At 40.1% G+C, this 18,137-nt stretch overlaps 1 protein-coding gene across 2 annotated transcripts in view; it reads right to left on the bottom strand.

The window, feature by feature from the left end:
* Positions 1-18,137, bottom strand: part of PLG (plasminogen) — a 51,905-nt gene that overhangs the window by 32,402 nt on the left and 1,366 nt on the right. Inside the window, exons 2-9 of one of the 2 annotated variants that reach the window (NM_000301.5) lie at positions 15,154-15,289; positions 13,890-13,996; positions 10,505-10,619; positions 8,571-8,710; positions 6,782-6,902; positions 4,933-5,051; positions 3,240-3,402; positions 2,858-3,003 (exon numbers count right to left, since the gene is read on the bottom strand). In NM_000301.5, the coding sequence (NP_000292.1) occupies positions 2,858-3,003; positions 3,240-3,402; positions 4,933-5,051; positions 6,782-6,902; positions 8,571-8,710; positions 10,505-10,619; positions 13,890-13,996; positions 15,154-15,289 (1,047 nt within the window). Of the gene's footprint in view, positions 1-2,857; positions 3,004-3,239; positions 3,403-4,932; positions 5,052-6,781; positions 6,903-8,570; positions 8,711-9,823; positions 10,620-13,889; positions 13,997-15,153; positions 15,290-18,137 lie in introns of those variants that run through there. The other variant, NM_001168338.1, reaches the window with a different exon arrangement.

Raw genomic sequence — 18,137 nt, 5'->3', positions numbered from 1 at the left:
GAGATAAGTATTCTCCTACGTCCACCAAAAAGTGAGCATTCAGTAACAAGAAACAGCCGAGTGTCAATGGGGTTAGATTATGTGTATGAAGATATCTCCTCTGTAGTGCAGGCATGCAGTGACTGCTGAAATCTGGGAATGGATAGGAACACGGAGAAAACTCTTTAGCACCCCAGGCCCCACTCTAAGTAAAAGATAGCAGCAGCACATCACTGGAGGAATTTATATCTGTGGTGCACTTAAGGTAAAACTAGCAATCACAAATCCCAATTCAGTTAAACTAGTGACTACATTGACTCAATTATCCACGATATATATTTGCAAGACAAGGGTGTCCATTTCAAAGTATAAATAATATTTACTGTAACCTCTACTGTTCTTCTATTTATAATGTCTAGTGTTTGATTAAAGAATTATAAGACACACCAAAAAACCCAAGGGGGAACAAAAAGCCACTGTTGAATAATAAAGCAATCCAGAGAGCCAGACTTAGAGAAGACGCCATCTGGAAACTATCAGATTGGGATTGTGTGATACCTACATTAGTATGTTAAAGGATCTTGTTGTAACGGTGGACAGTATGCATAGATAGGTAGAGAATTTCAGCAAAGATGGAAACTATAGAAAAGAGTAACATGAAAATGCTAGAAAAAAAGTCATAATATCAGAGATGAAGAATTCTCTCAATGGGCTGAGGAGATGACTAGAAACAACTGAAAAAATAATCCATAAACTTGGAAATAGGTTACCAGAACTTATCCAAACCAACACAAAGAATGAAAAAGAGTTACTGAAAAAAAAAGAGAACAAGCTTACAAGATTTATGAAACAACATGAATGTTGTGGGTACTTAGAATCCCAAACACGTGGTACTTAGAGTCCCAAAAGGAAAATACAGAGAGAGAAAAGTGCAAAAAGAAACGTTTGAACAGATAATGGCTATGAATTTTACAAGGACAATGAAAATCAACAATCTAGGCTGGGCACGGTTGCTCACACCTGTACTGTCAGCACTTTGGAAGGCCAAGGTGATGGACCGTCTGAGGTCAGAAGTTTGAGACCAGTCTGGCCAACATGGCGAAACTCTGTCTCTACCAAAAATACAAAAATTAGCTGGGCCTGGTGGCACATGCTTGTAGTCCCAGCTCCTCAGGAGGCTGAAGCAGGAGAATCACTTGAACCTGGGAGGTGGAGTTTGCAGTGAGCCGAGATTGCGCCACTGCACTCCAGCCTGGGTGACAGAGTGAGGCTCCATCTCAAAAAAAAAAAAAAAAAAAAAAAAAAAGAAAAGAAAAGAAAAAAGAGAAAAGAAAAAAATCAACAATCTACAAATCTAGGAACTCAGAATACCTCAAGCAGATTAAACACAAAGAAATTAATAATAAACACATCATAGTCGAACTGTTGAAAAACAAAGATGAGAAAATCTTAAAGGTAGTCAGAGAAAAATGACCTATTGAAAACATAGGAACAAAGATCAGATTACTAGTCAAACTATTTAAAACAGAAGATAATGGAACATCATCATTAAAGTGTTGCAAGTGATGAAACTCTCAACCCAGTATCTACATTCAGCAAAATTACTTTTAAAAACTGAAGGCAAAATACTTTTTCAGACACTCAAAATCTGAAAGACTTCAGCAGTAGCAGACCTGTGCTACAAAAAATGCTAAAAGTTGTTTTTCACAGAAAGAAACTGACACCAGATGGAAATTGAGATCTACCCCAGTAGATGAGAAGCACCAGAAATGGTAAAATAAATAAATAAAGAAAATATTTAAAATAGTTTTATTCTTGATCACTTTAAAACACAACTATTAGGGCAAAAATAGTGTCAATGTATTGTGAGATCTGTGACATAGTAGAAGTAAGCTTCTATTACAAAGAGTAATAGTATAGCATTTTGGGAGGGAGGAAGTAGAACTGCAATGATGTAAGGATTCATATGTCAAGTAGAATGATATCATTTGAAGGTGGAATGTGAAAAGTCAAAAATGTATATTATAAACATTGTGGAAAATACTAAAACCATTAAAAATTAATTTACTAAGTGAGTAGTGGAGATAAACTCAATCTAAATGAAGGCAGAAAAAGATGAAAAAAGGAACAAAGTTTAAATGGGACAAAGAGAAATAACTAACTTGATGGTAGATGTAAATTCAACTCTATTAACAATTGCATGAATGCAAATGGTTTGAACATCTCAATTTAAAAGCTCAGATAAATTTAAAAGATATATCATACAAATTTAAAAGATATATCACACAAATACTAGTGAAAATAGAGCTGTGAGACTGTATTTATATCACCATAAAGAGAGTTCAGAACTTCAGAAGAAGAAATATTCCCAGAGATAAGAAGAAACATTACATAAAGATAAAGGGGTCCTTTCATCTAGAAGACATAACCATCCTAAATACATATGTGCCTAACAAAAGAGCTTCAAAATATACAAAAGAGTTACGATCTAAAAGAGAAATAGACTAATTTACAGTTAAAGTTGGACACATCACCATTCATCCACAGTAGTCAATGAAGGAGGAGACAGACAATCAGTAAGGATACAGAAGAACACCAGCAACCAACTTCACCTAAATGACCTTGAGGGAACACCCCACCCAACAACCGCAGAAGACACATTCTTTTCAAGAGCACATGAAACATTCACCAAGATGGCTATATTCTGAACCATAAAACAAACCTCAACAAATCTAAAAAAACTGAAATCATAAGGGCAGGCTTTCTGACCACAATAGCATTAAACTTACAAAGCTACTGTATATTGTGATGATGCCACTGGTATACAAAAATAAGGAGAAAACTTGGGCCCTCAGTAAGCTCCCATACCCTTGCTTACCTGTGGGAGCCAATTGTTCCGTGGATACTGGGGAGGAGTCACAGGACGGTATCTTACAGTACTCCCACCGCACTTGGCTGTTGGTTGTATGGCACCATGGGGCCCTTTTTCCGTCAGGATTGCGGCAGTAGTTTTCATCCAAATTTCTGAAAAAGAAGTGATTGTGAGTTTAGCTTTCCAAAAAGAAAAAAGTCTAGGGAACCACGCTTTGAGAACAACCGTTACGGGAAAAAACGTGCTAAAGTTCATTTCCTTTACTTATGACTAGATCAGTTTTTCTTCCAGAATACTTTATCCTGCGTTCCTACAGTAACTAAAACTAAGGCAAAGTCAATGGGATTTCACATTCCATAGCAGCAGAATGAGACCGGAGGGGACTTACTTGCAGGGGAAGTTTTCTGGTGTCCTGTTATGTGTGTGAGGGGTCTGTGCACTCCAGTGCTGACAGGTGTGCCCGGACACGGTAACAGCCACATTCCCGCGATAGTTTTCACCTGTTCCCTTCAGACACTGGTAGGTGGGACCAGAAGATGGTGGAGGTGTTGCTTGAATGGGCAAAATAAGTTACAATGAATATATATATTTTTTGAGACGGAGTCTCGCTCTGTCGCCCAGGCTGGAGTCAGTGGCACGATCTCAGCTCACTGCAACCTCTGCCTCCTGGGTTCAAGTCATTCTCCTGCCTCAGCCTCCCGAGTAGCTCAGACTACAGGTGCGTGTCACCACAACTGGCTAATTTTTTTGTATTTTTAGTAGAGGTGGGGTTTCATCATATTGGCCAGGTTGGTCTTGAACTCCTGACCTCGTGATCCGCCCACCTCGGCCTCCGGAAGTGCTGGGATTACAGGCGTGAGCCACCGTGCCCAGCCCTACAATGAATAATTTTAAAATAGAGAATGCACAGATGGATGTTAAGGAGGATGGCTGCAGGGTGTTCTGGCCTGTCTTGGCTTTTGCTCAGCCTCTCTTGGAATTTGGCACTTGAGAATTGTTTCATGTTTTCAGATGAAATCAATTTAGTAGCATCTATGCCTGTGAGACCCTTTCACAAGGAACTCCTTCAGAGAAAGACCCTTGGGTAGGTGCTTCTTTCTATGTTCTCTTTGCTCAGTTCTTCCTACCTGGTAAGTATCAACACGTGTCACCTCACACCCCGAATTCTCACATACACCAAAGGTCCACTCTCTTTCCTGAAGAATAAATTATTCACTGAGTAGACATGACTGAATGGCACCCAACATGCCATAAAAGCCAAACAACAGGGAAAGAGTCCATGGAAAGAAGGCAAAAAACACCTCCAAGGAAAAGTGTGTGCATCCAGAAATCAAGATATTCTTGAGGAAAAAAGATGACAAAAAGAGAAACTGAAAAAAAAAGAGAAATTAATATTCATAAAAAGGGAGAATGCCTGAGGAACTTCCGCTTTCAAAGGACACATGTCAGAGGAAAGGAGGGGAGGCCAACCCTCACTGAATCCTTTTTAACCTTTCATGCCTGTATTTCTCTTAGTGTGTAATCCTTTGCTTCAAATTCTCAGAGAGGAAAATATGATAAAATTGTTTACTCCACATCATTTCTACTAGGTCTGCCATTTCATCTTCTCCTCTTGAACTCTTCCCCACCCCCACCACTCACCCTCTGCTCCCCAAGGTGGAAAAACTGGACACCCACAGACCTGAACATTGTAAACAAAGACACTCTTTGTTTACAAAACAACTATTAGAACTCTGGTTGAAAATGAAATCCATGTGTCAGAGAGCATGGGTCTGATTTCCCTTTAGCACAGAGAGAATAGGATGAACAACACCTAAAGCCTACATTTCAGTGAACTCCTGAGGCAGAAGTTTCAGTTGCAAAGAAAGAAAAACATGATAAATGGACGCTCTGATCAATCACCCACAGTAACCAATAACCATAACTGTTTTAAACCAGCAATAAAATAAAGACCAATAACATCCCATAGGACTTGTAGGTCACTTTTCAGAGGCTGCACTCAGGCACTGACACATGTTTTCTTTTGATTTCAAGAACAGGGCAGGTCCAAATCCTGGAATCTGGGTGTGCATCATACTCACTGCAGCGGGGGATGTCACAAAGTTCCCAGCGCTTGTTGGGGTCGGTGGTGAAACACCAAGGCCGCAGCTCCCTATCGGGGTTACGACAGTAATTCTTCTTCAGGTTCTTGTTTGGAAATCTGAATGGACAAGAAAGATTTTAGTAGCACTGAACATTTACATTCATGGATAAGACTCTTTTTCAAGAGCAAACATTGAGCACCTGCTGTGTGCTAGGCACAGTCGGGCATGGAGGAGGTAATCAGATGAAGGCTGTGTTCAGAGATGGCAACAAGGAAACAAGGTTGGCCCTGTATTCCAAGGACTTTCTTTTTTTTGTTTGTTTTTAGAGACAGGGTCCCACTTATTGCCCAGGCTTGCCTTGAACTCCTTGAACTCACTCAAGCAATCCTCCCGCTTCAGCCCTTTAGGTAACTAGGACTACAGGCATGTGCCACCATGCCCGGCTGCCAAGCACTGTTTTTCTAACAGTTTACATGTGTAAAAATCACTCAACAGAATCAGTGACCTTATCATTTTGGCCATCTGGAAAATTGATGTAAGCAAATTCCAGTTATTCAACCACAAATGATAGCAGTCTTTAAAATGTAAAGTGCTCCCTGCCTAAAGATACTCATCTAGTACCTAACAGAGCCAAGAAATGTGCATCTTCATAGCTTAAAGGAATGGTCCTTCTGGTCTACCAGGCTCTGCTCCCACCAGCCTTGAAGCTTAGAAAAACCAAGAGGAGAAGCTGTGCTCTTGCAAGGGTCTCACCATGCAGTATGGGGCTGGATCCTTCCTCAGTGGGGCCCAGTGGCCAGGGCTGTTGGATGCACTCCATGCCTGGTGGCCCTCTGCGTTTATTCATTCCCTCTCTGATTGTAAATGCTTACCAGGATGGAAAGAGGAGCCAGCAGCGGCTTAAGCAATCCTCTTCTCCTTCTGGTTTCCTGGAAGTGCCTTTACCCAGTTTTGGACCCTTAGGTCTTTCCTGTATTTCTCCTTTGAAGGAAAATGGCAGCTGCTGTGTTTTAAGCTAGCTATTTGGAATGGGAGGTGTACAAATTCAATAGAGCTGCTTTCCACCGTGGAATCTGTGGCTCAGCCTCACTTCTGCATTCTTGAAAGCCCTGGTATGGCCCTGTAGTCATCATAGAATGAAGAGGAAGACCAGAAGCGACTGTGGAATGGGAGGTGTTTTCCAGCACAATTAATGTGAAATAGAATACTCACGAAACCTTATTCTAGGAACCATCATGACTTTCTAGAGCAAGAAGCTTATTCTTATTTTAAATTCGTGGTCCCCTTAGAGAATCTGATGGAAGTTACGAATCCTCATTCCAGAAAAACACATTGATGTAAATATACATAAAACATCAGGGATTCAAAAATCCATGACGTCTGCTCATAGGTCAAAGGTTAGGAGACTTGAATCTCATTGGTACAAAGGGAAAAGAAAGACAAGGAGTAAAGAGAAAAGGAAAATATTTGGAAAATACACCAGCAACATGTGTGTGTGCATTTCTGAAGACAGATGTTAATGTATTCATTACTGACATTAGTGTTTGAATGTGTGTGCACATCAGCTGAGGATCTGGTTATTATTCAAATCAGATTCAGAGGGTGTGACATTCTGGATTTCTAACAAACTCTCAGAAAACATCCCTGCTGCTGACCCGTGGACCATATTTTGAGCAGCAAGAATGCGTATTTCACTTGCAATATTGTGGGAGGAGGTTAGCTTTGAAATTAAAAACATCAGGCGTTCACTTCTTGAGGAATGCTAAAATATCTAAATGACAGCAAATGTCTGATAGAGCTGCAGAGCCTTAATTAAACATGGAATGTTTTTCCCAGTGAGACTTACTTGGAAGGAATGTATCCATGAGCGTGTGGGCTCTGAGAGTCCCAGGCCTGGCATTCCAGTCCAGACATGGTCTTGGAAATTTTGCCGTCATAGTTTTCTCCACTGCAATGCATACATTCCTCTGGACAGAGTGGGAAGGAAGGACAGAGAGGAAGAAGAAAACTGAAATGGATGAAGCAAAATAGAGAGTAAAAACCAGAATCCTACTCACTTAAGTGCGACTTGCCTCTCATTCCGATGTAATTCACAACAGGCACTTGGCAATAAAATTGGCAATAAGGACTCAGGATTTTCTAGCATAATCCAAATGTCATTTTCCTTTTAAACCGTAACATTCACATATTTTAGTCAATACTCCCTCAACTATTGTAGTCATGACCAAGTTCAGAATTTCCATGATGCCATGTCCTTAGACCGGGATGCACAGGCCAGTGGGGAGCCAAGGGTGCATATATTCCCAGGAGTCTACGTTCTCCATTAGGAGTTTTCAATATTTGGCATCTTCATTTCAATAATGATCTTTAAAACTTTGTATGAAATTATTCTGATCATTCCGCTGACTGCTGAATGACCTGGCACCGTCTCAGGGTTTTAGTCTGGAGTTTTTGTTTATGCTCATGGCCTCAGGGAGAACAATATTCACCTGAAGTGACAGCGCTTCTCTTTTTATGTTGTTGAGAAGCATGATTGGCTCTTTTTTGCAAAATTATTCACAAACTTAAACTTTGATTCAGAATTATTGAAGTAACATGGTGAGGCAGAGTAATATGTGACTTAAATTTTATGGAGTACTAAGGAAAACGGGCAGACTTAATATAACAGTGATGCATTGGTGGTGCTTAAGGGCAAATACCTATAACATGGTGTACAAATAAAGGATCCCCGTGATTCGAACAGGTGGAAGTGATGGGAGAACTGAGTTGTCACACAGTACCATATCCACACTGTCACACAAATCTCACCTTTATTTATTCCCTTTTGCACTAATGTAGCCAGAAATGTGAAACGATGACAGTTTTTTCAGTAGGATTTTTTTAAAATTTTTTAGCATTGACCTTTGAGGTGCACTATTAAATTGCTCAGTCCATTCAAATAATGGATTGCTGATTTAAAAACTGGTTCCTTGCTTAGCTTCAGCAAAACAGCAAAGTCTACCACATTAAATATATATTGTTTATTTGATTTTTATTGATTTTGTTGTTTTATTTTAACTATTTAATTGCAAACCTGTCTTGGGGTTAACACTGTGTAAGAGTTGTAAGCATAAGAAGTTTGTACTTAGAGTTTAGATGTAGTTTTATATTTGTACATGTTGATGTAACATTTTAATAAAAATAATTCAGGTCTGCTGGGCATGGTGGCTCATGCCTGTAATCCCAGCACTTTGAGAGGCTGAGGCAGGCGGATCACCTGAGGTCGAGAGTTCAAGACCAGCCTGACCTACGTGGAGAAACCCTGTCTCTACTAAAAATATAAAATTAGCCAGGCATGGTGGCACATGCCTGTAATCCCAGCTACTTGGGAGGCTGAGGTAGCAGAATCTCTTGAACCCGGAGGCGGAGGTTGTGGTGAGCCGAGATTGCACGGTTGCACTCTAGCCTGGGCAACGAGAGCAAAACTCTGTCTCAGAAAAAAAAAAAATTCAGGTTAATTCTGGGGTTTTGCTTCTTTCCGAGAGGTGAATACGTTACTCAATTATTAATAACATCCCTGTGGGAAGGGGCTTTACAACAAATTATTTTACAGGTGAAGGGCAGAAATGAAAACATTTTCTAGAACCACTCCTGACCTTCACACTCAAGAATGTCGCAGTAGTCATATCTCTTTTCTGGATCAGTAGTATAGCACCAGGGCCCCTGCGGATCGTTGTCTGGATTCCTGCAGTAGTTCTCCTCCAGTCCCTCTGAGGGGTGTGTAGCAGGTGAGAATCTGGGGAGGATGGAAAAGAAGCACTTAGACTATATTCTAAAAATCAGCTTGCTATTAGCAAGGCAGAAGGAGATGCTCTCGATTCCCATCTGAGATTGTCATCCAAATGCATTTCAGCTGGGTGCTGCAGCATTTGTGTGGTCAGATTTTCAATTTCTCTATTGATAGGCTGCTTCTGGCACAGTAGCTAATATTACCATTGCTACTGTGACAGCCAAGTCTTAGAGAGCCAAAATATTTTTATTGCACAGTCAGGAGAAATATAAAGGCCTCAAAAGGCTGCCATGGTCTTAATTCATTCCAAACACCTGCTTTTGTCAGTTACCGTTTTCTCTGTAAAAATTTTTGTAGTTAATACCATTTTGTCCATGTGAACTATCTGCCAGGAATTCCACTAACATCTTTCCACACATTCTCTCTTTTAGTCCTAATAAAACCATTTGAGGAAGGTGTTATTATCCCTATTTTACAGATGAGAAAACTGAGTGGCAACGTAAAACAAAACAAAACAAAACTTGCCTAAGTGTAAATAGCTATGAAGAAGCAGATCAAGAATTCAAAGTTGATCTGTCTGATTCCAAAGTCCTGGTTTTCTCTGAAATGCAGCTTGAATTATTGGGGATGGAGGAGGGATTTAAGCTTATTTTCAGTTCTAGAGATGAGTTGCTGTATAGAGACAACCATTTAGATGAAAATCACAAGACTTACAGTCTAGAAAGGCAGGTTTTATTTCTGGTTCTTCTGTGAACCTATTTGGGATAACCCCCACCCCCCGAGACCTCAGTTCCCTCATAAAGATGAGCCTAGACTACCTCATAAAAATGGCCCAGAGTGTCTCCATGGCCCCCGATAGTCTCTGACTTTGCCATTTGGTTGAATCAGTTTTCATTAACTCACGGGGAATATTTGATCTGCTCATCTCATAGGGATATAGCAAAGGCAATTTGTTGAGTGTTGGGGGAATGGATAAAGGTGAGTAACAAGCACTAAGTTCCTATTTGATAAGCGTCATTACTGAGAACTTAATGCCACCTAACACCAAACTGGGAAAAGTACAAAAAAATGCACTAAAATAAATAATAGGCAAGTTGCAACATTTGAATTTCACGTATCTTCATTTTCATTTTTATATCTTATTTACTCTTTTGCTCCACAATTTGAGTCGAACATGTGATGAGAGTTCTAACCTGATATGCTTACTTCAGTCCCAAACATAGTCATCTTTGATCTTTTCTCAGATTTGGCCTAAAACTCATAGTTTCATTGATTTTTTTTAAACTAGGCATTCTTCTATGTTCTAGGTCTTCAAGAAACCTCCATATCCAAGAAAAAATAGAAAGCAACCATGTTCTACTATGGTGCCAAAAATAGTTGAACATCGACATCAAAAAGATTCTTTCTATCTGCTTATTCACATATTGTGGTTTGAATTAAAAGTGATGAAATTATCCTAAATACAGTTGGCCCTCTGTATCCATGGGTTCCAGATCCACAAATTCAACCAACTGTGGATGGAAAAGACTTGAAAAAGATGACAGAAAATAACAATATGACAATAAAACATAATACAAATAAAAACAATACAGTATAACAACGATTAAATAGCATTTACATTATATTAGGGATTATACAAGAGAAGGTATGTAGGTTATATGCAAATACTGCACCATTTTATATAAGGGACTTGAGAAGCATGGATTTTGGTAGCCACAGGGGTCCTGGAACCAATCCCTCACAGACACAGAGGGACAACTTTACAGTAGATGAACACAAAGATGAAAGGGAATGTCTTACCTAGGTCTGTGGGGAGAAGTGGAACTCCATTTTTGACAGGTGATGCCATTTTTTGTTTTGGACATCGTCCCTCTGTAGTTCTTTCCATTCCCAGTCTTGCACTCTGAGAGATACACTGAAGGGAAGTCCACACAGTGGTCAAAGTCTTTCACAAGACACCACATGAAGGTCTGCACAGCATAGTCACGTTGAGAAAAAGATCTCATGCACCAGACCCCCTGTTTCTGCTTTCTAAAAGATCATCTTTTGCATCTGCAAAAAGGCTGCAGTAAACTGAGCCATTCTTTGATTCATGTATTCAAATGCTACTTATGAGCTCTCTGTGTATCGAGCCCCACCAGGATGCTGGGGACACACGGGGCACAGTGCAGCCAGAGGCTTGGCCGTCATGGAGCTTACATTCTAGTGGAATCAGGCAGGGGGGTTACAGGAAATATTCAAGGAAACAATATAAAATGAGATCACTTAATGATGATACATATTACATACATGATGAGACAGAGTGAGAGAATGGGGAAAGGGCTTTTTAGATGGGGGAATGGCAGGCTTTTCAGAGGCTGAAAGAGATCCAACCCACTTCTATTTCTTCAGGCTCCCAGTGATATGAAAAAGTGCCAAACAGGGCTATAAAATTGTGGTCTACTGTAAATGGTTTGCAGTAAAAGTTCTCAACCAGCTTCCACTCAACCAACTCACCAGTTAGACAACGGGCCCTCTCCTGTGTTTAAAACAGTCCGGTGCCCACCTGGGTCCACATGCAGCTGGCAGGTGTTTGCTAGTGTGCCCACCCATGTCTGTTCCCCCCACGTGAGTTATGTGCTTACAACGAGTCATTTCTTTGCATTTTCCAACTTTCTTACATTTATATTTAATTAAAGATGATCTAAACTGAGAAATGAATGTGAAAAGAAACAAAGCTCTTTTTTGTTTGGTTTTTAACTAAATTAAATGTTTTTAACAAGTTGAAACATGAATCATTTAAAAAATTGCTATCAAATCCACAGAGGGCAATCCACTCATATAGTTGACTATAAAGCTTGAGGAGGAATTCATAAAAATCTAAAGGTTTTACACATTCAGATTGATTAATAAATGTCGAGATATGGTCCACTTCAAAAATAAGGAAAGTAATTATTGTAGATGTTGCACTGGAGCATAGTTTATGCAGGAAATACACCAGAGACCTTCTACTGGTGACCCCATATTCGAAGAAGAAAAGCCTCTGCTCTACGTCAAAAGGTGTCAAGTACACTTGTGTTTTCAATGAAAATATAAAATGTTTAAGGTATATTTACACCATCATTTAAGGTTACCCACTTTAGCCATTTTTTAATTAATTGATCAATCACATGGGGAAAGTGCTCCTAACATACCTACAGCAAACTAATGCTTTTAACCCAATACTGCGTATTATGATTGCAAGTACATCTTCATTGGGACATAGTATTACAGTAGACATAAGACACTCATCAAAAGTGTAAACTCAAGGTACTTTGTGAAAGGGAGGTCTAGGGGTCAAGGAAGATTTGCAAAGGACATGATGATTGAGCTGACACCTAGGAGATAAGAAGGAGCTGGCACAGCAGGACAAAGGTGAAGAGGGTCCCAGGCAGGAGGGTGTGTGCTTGGGGTGGTGAAGGAACAGAAGTAAGGCCAGTGTAGAAAAGTTTAGCAAGCCAAGCAAACAGCAGCTGGGGGTTACTTAAATAATGCTGGGCCCTAGCACATTTGGGAAGTCTTTGGGTCTTATTTTAAGGGCACTAGGAAGGGCTTTAAACAGGGAAGTTACATTTCTTAGAGATCATGTGTACAGCTACAAGTAGCCCCAACCAGTGGTGATAGGGTCTTGGACTTGGTGAAGGCAGTGTGGCTGGTGGCAAGTGGCAGAAGTAAATGTGATCTAACACTGACTGTTCCTGGCAAAACCCTGGCAGGTAAGTTAGTAGCAGGTCAATATCCCACAGCAAAGAAACAAGGACCAAAAAATGACTGACTTTTGACTTTTCACTTCTTTTTTTTTTGTATGTACCCATCAGAGTTTATATAACCTTTTGCTCCCTTCTGTCACTTTGAAAACAAGCAAACTAAGCCTTCAAACTTCAGACTTCAAACTCAACCTACAGTCATTCCCATGTTCCTTCTGGTTAACAATTTACAAATGACATATTTAAATGTTAGCATTTTGTAGAGAGAATCAGGAGAATCAGGGTTTTTTTTTTTTAAAATCTGGTACAATTAGGTGATCCTATTTAGTTTACCGTTTGCTTGCTACTTGTAAGAACTAATAACTTCACCAGATAAAGTTTAGATTTAATCTGCACTTTAATCTCAAGAATTCGAGATAAATAGTGGTAAGGAAGGAAGTACAATGCGTACAGCTAATGAAACCCAGGAAGATGAGTCAATGCATAGAAATAATTCCAACCCAAATAAATACTATTTAAAATGCTACTTAGAGTTTTGCCGTAATACTAGACACAATATGGCAAATCATCCTCAAGAATACAAGAACTAAGGTGTTTCCAGTCCTCTTTAACACCTGGGATGCAGAATGTTTGGAGAGCTAAATTGTTACTATTAACAGTCTTAATACCTGGCTACCAACACAGTAGAGGAAACAGTTTTTAAAGTGTCATGCATCCCTTCAAATATTTATACTTGATGGGATATGCTTAATGGGAGCATACTTGATGGGATATACTTGATGGGAAATGCTTAATGAAACATTTGCACATCTAAAAAGGCATGCAATTTCTATTGAAATCCTGTCTGCCTCTTATTCTAAGCAGTGGGACTATTGACCCACATTTTAAAATAAACTATAGAAAAGGAACTGTAACTTTTACACATTTTTAAAAGACAACATTTCAGAAATCTGAGAAAAATATAGACCATGTCCCCCAAAATGTGAAAAATTTAAGAGTAAAAATAAGATTTGTGTCCCAATCTAAATGTTTCTGAGGATTAAAACACCTCAGTATTTCTGTTTTACAAGGCTTCATCCAGATGTTAGGGCCCAAGGACCATGGTCACCCTGCAGAATAAGAAGCCAAGACCAAAAGGAATGCTTAGACTTCCCATCTCCTTGTTAAATATAAAATAATATTTTAAAAATCTTATTTTCAGGGTCATAGAGGTAGAAGTGATTTTGTAAATCTAATCCTTTCATCTTTTGAACAAAAAAAATTAAATCTAAGAGGTGAAGTAATACACTCAAGCTGACATGGTTAGTTAGTAATCAAATCCTGTCCTAACTCAGAATTCAGTTTTATAACACGATAGTGCCTTCCTCCTCTGGTCTTATAAATTAAAGATAGAATAGAGAAAGAGGAAGAGTGGGAGGATGGGGAGGACAGTAGGAGGAGGAGGAAGAAAATGTACTCACCTTTCTTTTCAAATAAAACTACATCTCTCATCCTAATGATTATGGAGGACTTCCTGTTTTCAGCCATTATCACACATTGTTGCTCTTTACTGTGATATTGGAATGCCCTGCAGAACGAAGCAGGAAATCCAATAAGTATTTTTCTTTATTTAAAGAAAACAAATGTTTATTAATAAGTGAGACATGCTAAAGATCATTGAATATCTTGAGGGACCAGAGAGCTCAGAATTGCTGCCTCTTTCAGTTATTTGGGCATGGCATCGATGAAGTACTGAACAAAATACACCAACGTGGCAGCAAATCTTATCTGCCCTTACCTTCCCTCCCTCATAATTTTCCCTTTCTTCCTGTTTCAACTGCTTTACTTCTTCTTCACTCATCTTCTTAATTTTTGTTTTTGGGTTGGAAAGAAGCAACTCTGGTTGCTTTGAACCCATTCGCCAAGATAGTCCGTCTCCATGACCTCCCAACTCTGATCAGTTCCCCTGAACCTCTGCTCCACATTCCACCCCACCCTGGCCCCTGACCCCTCCCATCTCCATCCCGTGGTCCTGCTATGGGTGCTCAGTCTGGATTCCATAGCTACCTTCCCAAGCCCGTCACCTACACAAAGTCTCTGCTTTAGTCAACTTCATCTCTTAATGGTCCCCCTCAGAAGGTGCAGGGCCGCATCTTCCCCTGCCTTCCTGGTGCTTGTCAAGAGCTCTCTCAACTCCAAACCCAGCTCAGTTCCCACCTCCTCCCTGAGCCTTCTCTAGCTGCCTCAACCTTAGGCACTGTTCTTTCTTCTGGATCTGGGTAGAGCATGCATTGATTATGCCTGTACCTCACTTGGGCTGTCTTTTTTTTTTTTTTAACATTATATCCAGTTTCTTTGACTACACCTTAAATACTAAAGGGCAGGCACTGGATCTTGTAGCTATAAGTCATTGCTCAGATCTATCTAGGACACTTTCATTCACCTGATCCTCAACAAACATTTACTGATGATGATGTTGAAAACTGGAGCTCAGAACAATAACTGCTAATGTTTGTGTCCGGTGTAAAAACAAATAACTTCCTTTGAGGGTATTTTTCTAACAAAGACTCCAATAAACCTTAACAAGAAGCTGTTAGTATGGCTTCACATACTGTGAGCAAATATAGTTCCAAACTCTGGCTCCATAAATTTCTCTTTCCTCTTAAATCATTAATAAATTTGTGAGTAAATTACTTGCCATCTGAATTACAGATTCCTGCGTAGGTGCAACGACAATGGAAATACCTGCAGGTGAATTCTTCGTCCTCCTCACATTTTGCTGCACATTCTTCTATACTTCCTGCTCCCAGCTGCTTCTTAGTGACACTGAACAGTGAAGCCCCCTGGGTATTCACATAGTCATCCAGAGGCTCTCCTTGACCTAGAGGTGGGAGATCCAAGTGGAATAAATGGTCAGTAAATCAATGTCAATGTCTAATTGTCATGACTTCCTTTTAATCTATTTGGTTAGCATTAACCAAATAAAACTTTCTGTTTACTGGAAGTAGAATGGGTAGCTATGAATCAAAATGTTTAGTTAAGAACACACAGTCGGGCATTTGGACATAAATAAAGATGGCAACTAAAGACACTGGGGACTACCAGAGAAGGGAGAGAGGGAGCAAGGCAAGGGCTGAAAAACTACCTATTTAGTAGGTATTTAGCTCACTACCTGGGTGATGGGATCATTTGTACCCCAAAGCTCAGTGTCACGCAATTTAGTTATGTAACACACCTGCACATGTACCCCTGACTCTAAAAGTTGAAATTATAAAACAAAGAAAAACAGTTTCATTAGCAGATTGCAAGATAGTAAAAGATTAACTGGATTGACAAACAGGTTAGAACTATGGAACCACTACTATGTTACCATATTAGTGGATATAAATCCTTAAACAAGAACAAATTTTATGTTTGCTATTGATTGTGCCATGTCATGAGAGAAGAGTAAGGCACCATCAGTGGCAGTTGTGTTACCAAGATTGATGTTGATTTGTTCATCCCTGGGTAGAAATGGAACTTGGAGGCCATTGTTTGATTTCCTACAATATGCGCTTTGGTTCTGGCACTGTCACTTGAACCGGTGGGAAGCATCCTCTGAATGGTCCCTCCTTGAGAAACATAAATTTTGGTGCATAGATGATGGTGGAAATAAACAAGAACTGAACTAAATTATGTTGCCACCTTGGACAAAAATTGGGCAAAACACTGGAGGGTAAGAAGCTCCCCAACAAAGAAGGCCATTTTTGTACTGGGCTTATGACAGTCACACAACACTACTAATTGGGGAGAAGTCAGTTTTTCCAAGGTGTTGACAGGTATCTGGATTTCGGAGGAAATTGTAAAAAAGCAGGACCTGGGACAAATACTGGTCTTGGTTTTTCTTTGAGATCAAATCTGAGACAACGAATCTGTCCGAAAGCTGCTTTCTGCCTGGTCGTGGCAGAGGGTGGCCAAGGGGGCCTCAGCTGTGCTCCCACCACAAGGCTACAGGGTGTCCCCTTGTCCTGAGGCTCTTCCAGACATCTGGCTGAGCTTTGGTAGCTCTATTCCAAGCCTGGAGATGCCAGCTCCGTCCTTGGCACAGAATGCTAGTGATTTGCACAAGGGTGAGAGGCCAAAAGAGGCTAATAAAATGAAGACAGGCAAGCTCCATGGAATTAGACAACAGGACAACCTTGACCACTTTGAGGGGCGTGGTGGGGGCCGCAGGCAGAGGGGGTGGGTTACAGAGTGACTAGGAGAGCAGTGGAGGCTGCAGCAGGAGACAAGCCTGGCTCTGAAGACAGCGAGCCCTCCAGGGAACATGCGGTCAGGGGAGGTTCTGAAAGATGACACACTGCAGAGCGCATTGGTTTGTATGCTGATGACAAGTATCCAGTAGGAAAGCAAATGAACAGATTTTCATTCTCAGAAAGGCCTGTCCTGACCTCCTGAGGGTACACAGAGCACAAGGGGCAGGACAGGGAGGTGGATGCATGCTCATCGATTCATGCAAAGTCCTCGGCCAAAGTCCCCCTGCTCCCCACCTCTGGGACTTTGTCCTTCCTCAATTTAAGACATTCCGGGCTGGAAAAATGGATTATTGAGCAGGAGTTGGCTGATGCATTCTAAAGCTAATCCACTAAAAAGCACTTGAGAGATATATCAAAAGATCACAAAGAAATAGATGCTTTAGGCCCATATCCATGTCTTTACCCCGCACTTTCTGCCAACTTGAACTCTCATTTTCAAGAAGAGTTGTGTTTTGGTTAATTCTATATAGCTCACAGTGTGACTTCAAAACACACAATAAATCCACAAAGTGTGTCCTACAGTGAGTTCAGTTAAACTTTCTGAAGAGTTTTTTTGAAGTATAGCAGAGCAGGCTACAACTGATATTCAAAAAAAGAAAACTTCCATTTATTTCCCCCTTCAATTAAGTTCTCTGTGTTATGTTACTATGCTTCATAGCGCATCGCTGCTGAGATCCCCTCCCCAGCTCATGTCCCTAGGAAATATCCCAAAACAGAATCAAACTTTTCTCTTTTCAGTTTGAAATAATTTTCCCCCATTTTTTCTTCTCTTATTCACCTCTAGGACTCATATGGCAATAGGATTTGATAGGGCTTATTTGCTGGCAAGGAAACATCAAACAAATCTTTTAGTGGAAAAATACATTTATATTATAGGCAAAATGCAGATGTATATTGCTACTGATGCAAATGTATTTTATTAATGGTGTGAGAATTTCTTCCTCACTGTGGTGTGTGAATGTGTATGCATATTTGCATGTGTAAAAGACTTAATTTGTGAAATGGAAGATGTTTCTCCACTTCCCACTAAGCATGGCTGTAAAAGAAACTTTTCCCTCTCCCCGGGCATTGCAGCACACTGGAAAGATGATACATCCACAGAAAACCTGGCTTTCCAAAAGAGCTTATGAGAGAATGTGCCCACCAGGTGGGTTAAAACATATGTTAATCCTGTGGCAGAGAAGTTTGATCTAGCCTTTGGGTGTAGCCCACTGAATAAGTTCATAGTGATCTATGTCCTAGTTTCCATGCATTGAAATATAATATTCATACCCCCCAACATACACCAATTTCTTACAAAAATTTCTTTAATTTTCTCCTGCTCTGTATTTTCTTTGATAGCTCCTTGAATGGCTTCCACTAAATTCAAATGTATTTGACTCTAAAGTGCAACTTGTAAAATTTTATCTGGTAATTTATAGATTGAATTTCAAG

The sequence above is a fragment of the Homo sapiens genome, chromosome 6, assembly GCF_000001405.40.
Source record: "Homo sapiens chromosome 6, GRCh38.p14 Primary Assembly".
NCBI lineage: Eukaryota > Metazoa > Chordata > Mammalia > Primates > Hominidae > Homo > Homo sapiens.
Note: the sequence above shows the minus strand (reverse complement) of the source record. Positions and strands in the feature narration are given on the sequence as shown.